At 33.1% G+C, this 10513-nt stretch overlaps 1 non-coding gene across 1 annotated transcript; it reads left to right on the top strand.

Moving 5' to 3' along the window:
- Positions 1 to 8549: 8549 nt before the first annotated feature.
- LOC124900893 (small nucleolar RNA U13) lies at positions 8550 to 8653 on the top strand. The gene has a single exon (XR_007058535.1). It is a non-coding gene; the product is annotated as a small nucleolar RNA U13 (small nucleolar RNA).
- The last annotated feature ends 1860 nt before the right edge of the window (positions 8654 to 10513 follow it).

The raw sequence follows: 10513 nt of genomic DNA, 5'->3' as shown, positions 1-10513 counted from the left end.
AAGGAAGATGACATTGCTTGACTAATACTTGGAGGCAGCAAATAGCCATAGGTCCAAGTTAACTGACTGGGATATGTAATTTGTACATGTATTCGAAATGAATATATTCTGGCAATATAGCTAGGGAGGCCATACTATGCTTTGAATGCCAAGATCAAGTTTCCACTGTCTGATTTAGTTAGGTGATATATGCTAACTTATAAGGGAGCCACCAAATTTTGCACTAGTGGTAGTTAACCACTCAAAAGCAAATGAAAAGTTTGGGCAAAAAAAGTGATTTATGTTAGGAAAGCAGTCACTGATGCTATTGTTAGTGGAATGACTAGTGTTGATGTTCCCTCTAAGATCAGCTGAAGCTCTGGCAACCTTTGTGTGCTAACTTTCCTGCTGGGAACAGATTTCAAAGATAAATTAAGATCCCATATCAGCTGACCTTAGCACAGGGAGAATATTGGGGTGATCCAGTTGCAGTCACATGAGCCCTCTAAATATAAATTTAGCAAACAGAGAAAGTGAAGTAAGATATATTCAAATCATGAGTGAGATTTGAACCATGAGAAATTCTCCATTGCTGGCAGGATGGATCACATGGAAATGAGGACAAGTGGCATCTAGGAGCCGAGGGCTGCAGCTGTCAACAAGAAAATGAAGTCCTTTATCCTGCAACTATAAAGAAATGAACTCTCCCAACAATCTGAAGGAGTTTCCAATGAGATTCTTCCCCCAACCCTCCAGATGAGAACTCAGTCTAGCTGATACCTCAAGATGGCAACATAGTCTGCTTTGTAGTAACATGAGGAGAGAACCTAGTCACATCAGCCTGGGTTTCTAGTAGCAGTTTATTATATATTTGATTATTTTAAATTATTCTAGATTCTTTGGGAATTGTCTCCATATATGTAGTGTGTGTGTGGGTGTGTGTACCCTATTTTTGGAAACCTTAATATATTCATAAATCTTTTTCTGTAACTTGATTTAATTATGTTCATAATATATGCTGTGTATTATGCCTTCTCAGCTCACGTAAACTCTATGTAGAGAAACAGTGTTGTGTAATGGTTAACAGTGTAGCAAACGTAGCCAGACAGCCTGATTCAAGTCTCAGCTCTGACACCTCCATGCTGTGCAACTTTGGGCAGTTCATTTTTCTAGCATTGATTTTCCCTTCTGAAGCATAGAGGCAATAAGATTGTTGTGAGAATTCAATGAGTCAAGACCTTTGCAAACACCAAGAATAATTCCTGCCATACAGCAGGCTCTCAGAAATGTTAGCAAATAGCCTTATTTCTTTTAAATTTCAAACTGTACAAACAACATGCAAATACATTCTCCTGTTATAAGAAAGGAAAATTGACACATAAACATATAAAATATGAAATCACTGTCTTTATTCTACTCATAATCATATTCTCTTACCTGCCTCAGTAGCATAATTTATGAATTTTTATAGCTTTAAAGTTTGCTATGTTGCACCATATAAAAGTATTTCCTATGTATTTGACATTTTTGCATATTTTTATATATTTCTATGATGACATTCTTCAATGTGTGTAATCAGCTCGCCAAATTCTATCAGATATGCCATGTGAAGGTTTTAAAATTTCATTTAATTATCAGATTAATTTGAGGAGTATAGTCATTTTAATAGTAATGGTTTTACATTGATTTTAATTTTTACACAATAGACATATTGAGAGATACTTAAAGGATAAAAAAAGTAAGCAAAAGTAATTGTTGATGAGCTAATAATTGACATTTTCAAATGCCTTCAAACTAGAACTAGCAAATAATTCATAATGATATTGTAGTCATTTCTTTTAGTTACTAAGAAATCCATGTGATATATATGTTTTAAAATCAACATCTTCATCTTGAATTACAATTATAAGGCAATTGGGAAACTAGTGTTAGAAACCTATGGTATGTTTATCTCTAATTAGAAAAAGAAAAACACCATTACAACAATTGTTTTCATTAATTAAATTTTAGAATGACTAAACTTCAATATGTTGATTTTAGAACAACAAATAAAAATAATGGAAAACATAAAATATTATACAGGATTTCCACTAGAATTTTAATTATTGTGATTATATAATGTGCCTGTTATTTGGCTAGAGTTTAAGCAAAAACAAAATCTTCAATTTGAAATCCTTTAAATTTAGCATTCCCTTGGTTAGAAAATTTTCCAATTGATTAAGATAAGTTTTAGTCTCCTATTTAAGAAAATTGCTCTTTTAATATGTCTTTATCTTCCCATTTGTATTCATCACAACAAAGCAAGGAAGATTGTTCAGTGTGAAATAAACACTATTAGCACTCATACAGTTTAACAAAGAATAAGCTGTAAGTTACACATACACCTATGTCTGATACTAGTACTAACAAGTGGTGCTGTGAACTTTGGCAAGCTGACAGGCTTCTTGTGAACAATTTCAGGCAATTGAAAGGATAATGGTACAGCTGATAGCTTGACTTTCAGTAATACAAACAATGACTGGACCATGAAGAGCACCACATAGAAGTTAATACATGCAAAATCCCCAGCATATAGTAAGCACTCAGTAAGAATTAGCTGGCCAGGTTTGGTGAGTCACGCCTGTAATCCCAGGATGTTGGGAGGCCGAGGCGGGTGGATAACCTGAGGTCAGAAGTTCAAGATGAGGCAGGCCAAGATGGTGAAAGCCCATCTCTACTAAAAACTACAAAAATTAACCGGGTGAGGTGGCAGGTGCCTGTAATCCCAGCTACTCGGGAGGCTGAGGCAGGAGAATCGCTTGAACCCAGGGGGCGGAGGTTGCAGTGGGCCAAGATCACACCACTGCACTCCAGGCTGGGCGACAAGAGCGAAACTCCATCTCAAAAAAAAAAAAAAAAAAAAAAAAAGAGCCGGCATTAGTTGCAAACATTAGCAATCCCTGAAAAGCATGGGCCCAACCTGGAGGTAACTAGAAGATTGAATGCGATTTTATTCTTGATAAAAAGAAGCAAACAGTTTAAAGTATAGTTATAAAATAATAAACCACCAGTCAACATCAACAGAACAACCCAAATTATTTTCATTTCTTTTTGAATGCTTGATCTTTATATTTTGATAAAAAATTAACATTTTACAAATTTAGTTGATTGATAATAAATGCTAACACCAGTGAAAAATATGCTTATGTATTATAACACATCAATTTGAAACCTCAACTGACTCTACTACTGTATGTTAAATTATAGTCCAAACAATTTTTGGGAAAGCCTGTCCCTGCTAATTGTACCTGTCAAGCAACCATTAAGTAAATAATGTGATCTTCTAACTAAGGAGCTGTCTCAAACTTTTCTATCAGTCTAAGGGGCAGGTACATTGTGTATACCTTTTATTTACCATTTGCTAAATAACAACAAAAAAGAAATAAATAAATAAAGTCCAAGCCCAGATAATAAAGCACATGGGTCTGTACGTAACTATCAATACAGACTATTAGCTCTTTATTTACTTTTTAAGGCAAGGTCAAGAGGAGAAAATAGAAAATGTTAATATATTTTCACTGGGCACAGTGGCTCATTCCTGTAATCCCAATGCGTTGGGAGGCCGGTGCGAGCAGACCGCTTGAGCCCAGTAGTTCGAGATTAGCCTGGGCCACATGGTGAAAACGTATCTCTACAAAAAATACAAATATATATATACACATAGACAAATTAGCCAGGCATGTTGGTGCATGCCTGTAGTCCCAGCTACACTGGAGGCTGAGGTGGGAGGATTACTTGACCTGGAGAGGAGAAGGTTACACTAAGCTCTGATTGCACCACTCCAGCCTGGCCAACAGAGTGAGACTTCGTCTCAAAATAAATAAATAAATTTTATTTTGTTTTCAATGTGACACTTTATCTTCCAGTTCCTCTCAAAGTTCAGCTGTACCTTGTCCTTTGAAATCAGTGATTTTCAAATTCCATCATTACTTTAGCATAGCATATAAATTTTCAATCAGAGATTAATAGAAAAATCTTAATTATTAAAAAACAATTCCTATCAACATAAAATACTGAATGTGAAAGCACTAAGAAAAATTTCTCTACATTATTCATTTCTGTTTTATTTCAATTTAACTTTTAATGATGGATTTTCAAAGGGGAATTAAACATCCATATTGATATTCTTAAAATTTTTCCATAGACATGATTTTGTTTCAGACACATAAAATTTGATAAATGAAATAAGATAACATCGTAAATATGCTAAGAAAAAAGAAGTCACCTTGGGAATACAGTGATTTGCATTCTACCATAAATATACTCCCAAATACTCAAAGAGTTTAACTTTCAAATACATTGCAAAACACAGAAATCTGTATACTCATTCTAATATTTAATACCAATCTTAAGAAATGAGATAAGGCAAAAACCCATCTCTGCAAAAAATACAAAAAAAATAATCTGGGTGTGGTAATGAACACTTATAATTTCAGCTACAGGGAGACTGAGCTGGGAGGATTGCTTGAGCCAAGGAAGTCAAGTCTGCAGTCAACAGTGATTGTGCCAGTGCACGCCAGCCTGGGTGACAGAACAAGATCCTGTCTCTCTCCATATATATATATATGTATGTATGTATATATGTATATATATGTATGTATGTATATATATGTATATGTAAAGGAATTTTATACATATAAATGCACATATATGCATAAAGGAATTTTATACTTATCTTTTCAATTGAAATATAACATCTATATATTAAAATGAATAAATAGTAAGCATCAAATACTACTTGTACTTTTAAAAAGAATATTGTGGAAGTATCAACTATATCAAGATGTAAAATATTACGCCTCCAGAATCTTCCCTTATGCCTCTACTCAGTCACTGGGCCTCTCAGAAATGTAATCAGTATTCTGGCATCTAACACCATAATAGACTCTGCTTGTTTTTGAATGTCATCAGTGCGCAATATTCTATTTGTAAATTTTTTAACGAATCAAGATCTATGAGGTTTATCTGTGTTGTACGTAGTCGCAGGTTGTTATTTCTTATTGCTGTATAGTATTCAATTGTGAGAATAATTAGAATTTATGTATCCATCCCACTTTGTCATTTTAGTGTTGTGGTAATTTTGATCATTTATACTTTAGGTGCCATGAATATTGCTTCTTTAAATATTCTTATCTTTGGTGACATATATCAAGATTTTTCTGGGTATATATCTAGGAATTCAATTGATGAGTCATAAGTATACATATGTTGGTGGATACTACTAAAGAATTTCAAAGTGGTTGTAAAAATGTATGCTTTCACCAGAAGTATATGAGAGTTTCTGTTACTGTATATTCCTACTAACACTTGGTATTTCATTTTTATTTAATTTTAGCCATTCAAATATTGTTACAATAATATTTCATTGTGACTTTGTGTTGAGTAAATACGTTGAGCATATTTTCTGAAGGTTAATTTTAGATAACATCTAAAAAATGACTGTGCAATTCATTTATTCCTTTTGATCTTTGATAGTCTATATTTTCATTATTGATTTATAGTTATTCTTTATGTTTATATGTCTTCTTTTGGTTATTTGTACTGCAAATATCTTGTCCTAGTCTTTGGATTTCCACTTATTCTTTGGAAATTGTCTTTTGATGAACAGATTTTTTAAAATTTTAATAAAGTCTAATTTATAAGTCCTTTTCCTCATGGCAAATAATTATGTTCTGTTGAGGAAATATTAACCTATCCAAATGTCATCTCTATGCAAAACTGCAGAAAATTTATTGTTTCACCTTTTATATTTTTGTTTCGGTTTATGATCCATCTAGAATTGATTTTGTACGTGTTGTGAATCAGAAGTAATATTTTTTTCCATATGGTATATTATTCCAATATAGTTCTTGGAAAGGCCATCATTTTCCCTTGCATTGTAGTGAATTATTAATGTAATTCAAGTGACTTGCTAATTTTACAGTTCTAGAACTTCTATTATTTAGTATTATATTTTATATATATATATATTTCAGGTTGTAGAGGCTTGAGACTATTTTCTTATAATTTAATCATAGTTATTTATATCTGATTTATATTTGAGTATTTCTGTGTCTTTTAAAATTCTTCTTCATTTAGTCCTGTTTGCTGGTGTGCTTGGTAAAATGTTGAATACTTTATGTGAAAAGTTGTATGGTCTCTGGATCATATTATCGTCCTTCAGAGAAGACTTTGGTTCCTTCACACAGATAGCATATACACAAAACACCGTACTCCAACAGAGACTACAAATACTTGAAACTTTAAGTTTTGTGAAGGTTCTTCTATTTCTTATTTGTCCTTTCTGTTAGGGCATACCCCTTTAGGACTATCTACTATAAACTTGGGTGGCTCGGGGGGTCTGAGCTCCTTCTTAGGCTTTCACTTATATTGATTTCCATCCTAGCACTCTGAGACTGCCAAAACTTCAGTGGAGTTTTCATCCGTTGAGCAGATTTTTGGTTTGTTGTTTTAACATTTTGCTCTGGAAAGGTAGAATTTAGGAACTGATAAATTTCTCATAGGAGAGCCATATACAAAAGGCCTAGTTCAACTTCCAGGATTCCATTTCTCTGCCATTCCGGCCTCTTCATTCCTGGATGCTGTGCTATCCATGAACTCTAATGTCTATTTCCCCAGCTCAGTGAAAACAACACAAACTCCAGGCTACACTCACTCCTCAGCCCTCTACAACCTGAAGATAAAATCAGCATATAGTCTCCGGGGAAAGGCTGCTTTGAAGGCAAATTTGATACATGTGTTTATAGTCTTTTTCCTCAAGTTCTGGTACTTCAGTGCTTTCTAATGCTTCCAATCAGTTCTTTTTAATTCAATCGTTGTTTTTATAATTTGTTAAATTTGTATAGTTGTCAACGAGTGATGATATATGACATGAGTTACTCATTACAGCTAGGAATAGAACTCAAGATTAATTTGTGTCAAGTTGTATGGGTGGTAATAAAGAAGTAAACAAACAATAATAATAAAATGCAAGTCATTTGATTCCCCATCACTCTAAGCAGATTTCTAGGAAGTTCTGGGCAGTAAATTTTTAACAAGACAAAAAGTTCCCGGACTTGGAACCTCATCAAATCCTCCACCATCCAGTAAGCAGCAATGATTCTCTCTCCAACAAGGTCTGAAACTCAGCCCTCAAGGGTAGGGAGAGAAGTTGTTTCATAAGTACCCTACGTTACCCCTAGAAGCATGGCTGTTCCTTATACCCTCTATTCTTTTATTTTGAAAAGTTCTCTTTACTTCTTACTCCCATTCCCTCATTACCATGTTACTTTTATTCCCCATTATAGTTCATTTATATATATATATAAAATATATGACATATTATATGCACACAGATATGTGTGCATGTGTATATACTCATATACAGAGAAATATACATATTATATGATTATAATCATATAGATTCTGTCCAAATCATTCCATGCACTCTGTGGTTTCTCTTTCCTGACAATCCTTACTGATGAAGGCATATAAGTACAAGTTTTGAGGAAGATCCAGACATAAGTAGCTGGGACATGGCCACTTTAAATACGGTTTTGGAACGAGTGTCCTCGACTTGTCTGAAAAAACTGGTACAGAGAAGACAACAACATATAGGTAAAATATAAATTCAGAGTAGGGATATCAATAATGAAGTGTTGATGCTAAATCAGCAGGATGCTTGCCTACTTACACTCAGAAATACTCAGAGTTCAAAAATAGTATATCAGAGTGAGGGTTTGGATAACCTAATCTATTCAAGCTAATGGCCTGCAAGTCAGAAAGTTGAGTTGGTAAAAACAATAGATAAATATTAATGAAATAAAGCTATTCTTGGACTTTGAAGAGGCACGATATTATAGTAGTTAAGAATCACGCATTTACAGAAAGATAGTCAAGATTTGAATTCTGGAAGTGCTTCTGCTCAATGGTGGAAATATGGCAATATTTTAAATCTTCAGGCCCTGAGTTTTCTGAAAATGGAAAAAAGAAAATCTTAAGTCTCTTCAGTCATAGGCGTGTGTATGTGTTGTATGTTTGTGTGTGTGTTTGTGTGTGTATTCACATATATGATTACAGGGAAAGTTGGTAGAGAGATAACAACACAAATATATTTTAAGAATAGGAAGAAAATATATAGAGTGAAAACAACACACATACATAAAAAAATAGGAAAGGAGGCAGACAGATAACAAGAGCCAAGGTGGATGTTTTTCAGCATTATTATCAACATCATCAGCATCATTTTCATCATCATCATCATCGTCAGCAGCAGCAGTAGTGGCAACATCAATACCATCACATTAATAATAAAATGCAGTGGTAGCAGAAGAACTAAAACTATTTCTCAGGGAACTCTATACCCCAGAACTCTTTGCCCTGGGGAGGACATAAACCTCTTGATCTTCTAATTTTTTAGACTCTAAAAGCCTGAAGGCATGAGCAGAGCCTTTTTAAAGGTTTTCAGAAATATTGCTATAAGCTATATTTTCCCCTAGCATAACAATCTTAAAGCAAGAAACCATTTTAATTTTTAAAAATGTTTTTGATTGATCGTTTTGTAGTTCATGAGCATGATGATTGGGTGTTCATGCACATGCGTGAGATGTGCTACTCTCAAACCTTGTTACGATGTCAGCACATTACCAGTCTGACCTGAGTAGAAAAAAAAGTTTTTGATGTTCGTTTTTCATTGAAATATACTTCTCCAATGTGACACTGATACAAAGTTGAACTATCTAAATCATGACATATAAGTATCACAGAGGTCACCCCTTTAACAATATCTATTACTCCCTTTGCTAATAATTTACTTAATAAAAAGCATTTTGGTAATTGTGTTTTAGCATGCCACGTATTCAGGGGAAAAATGTGTCTGACAGTTTCATAGACAATTCAGCTCTTTATTTACTTTTAAAATAAATTGATTCTAAGTTAATATGTTGATATTCTGGGTTTTACGTTGATGCATTATGCCTTTTGTCAATATGAATTAGCTTCTTTATTTTCAATCCACTCTGCGATACTGAAGAGATCAAGATCCTAAGCCATCAGGACCAAACTCATGATAATGGTGAATTCATGAAGGTAAATATGACCTCATAGTTGGATCCATTTGGGTAACCACTGAGCATTCTCAATATCATTTTCACCAGAAACATCCAGTATGGACTTCCAAGGTGAAACTGAATAAACTTAAAAGATTTTTTTTTCAATCCAATTTATTATGCTCTCTTTATAAAATAAGCCATAGATATTTGAAATAGCTATTTGTACAAGTTTGAAGCTAAAATAATATGTAAATAAGTATTATAAGATGAGATCAATTCCACAAATATGTCTTATAAAAGTACCATAAGAATTCATGTAATATTCAAGATGAAAGTATCATATGTAACCTAAAATTGTTCATATTTTTAAAATGTATATCTAGCCAGTGTGATAGTCTTCTTATAATTTTGTTATATATATTTTAGTCCACAGTACAAATTTAACAGTTACTTAAAATTGCCTGATTGGTAGAGTTAAAATCTTACACATGTAAAATTACCATGGAAAGGAAGGCATAGAGGATAAAAACTTTTTTGTTTCAATTATAACATTGTCATATTCTATTTGAGGGACAATTATGTAATAAATTAATAACCATACTTTTTGAACTTATTTTTCTTTAACATTTTTACAGCACTTACAATTATTACTGCTTTTATAATAGACAATAATTTGGATCCTTGAATATTCTGAAGCTGTATTTATTAAAGTAATTCATTATTGTAGGAATGGAGAACGCAGTAACATTAAACAACGTGTAACTTTTTATATAACTCTACAAGGTTTAGCTCTAAAAAAGTGAAAATTTGGTATAACAAATAATTAAAGGGAAAAACAAATGTAAATTAAACATAAGATTTTACTTTCTTCATTAAAAGTAAATTAAGATGTTAGCAAACGATTATCTAAGCTACCCTCCCACTCAGCTCAACCCAGCTGCATCTGTGACTCAGACTATTTTCAGTAGCTTTTAATTAGCAGTTTTTGTGACTATCTCAGAGGTTGCAAATTAAAGAGAACACTGACCGGCAGAATCTGTACTGCTCTGAAAGGAAGTATCCTAGGGAGAGCTCCAAATAGTGATAAAGAATCTCAGTAGTAGCAGGAAGGCAATGATAGGGAATGTATCAGGAAGTAAAAGAAAAAAAAAAAGAAAAGGAAAAAAATGAGAACCACTGAAGTCTCAGATTTGATACTACAAAAATAAGATGCAGAAGACATTAGATGAGTTTGTTTCCTAAGATTAACAAAAATTCAATAAATAAATCTACCATCTAATCAGTGATACTTTAAACTATACTAAGTAGCTACATGAGGTGATCTAATTACTCTGATTTTTAGTGTATGATATCAGTTTTAAACATTTGCCAAATTTGAGGCAAATCGGTATTTCCAAGATTTTTCTTCCACCCTTCCAAATATCACATAATACTATAGCTCATGCTATTTTCTGTAATGTGAAAAA

This window comes from Homo sapiens, chromosome 4 (genome assembly GCF_000001405.40).
Source record: "Homo sapiens chromosome 4, GRCh38.p14 Primary Assembly".
In the NCBI taxonomy this organism is placed as follows: domain Eukaryota; kingdom Metazoa; phylum Chordata; class Mammalia; order Primates; family Hominidae; genus Homo; species Homo sapiens.
The sequence above is the reverse complement of the archived record's forward strand: the minus strand, read 5'-3'. Positions and strand labels throughout refer to the sequence as shown.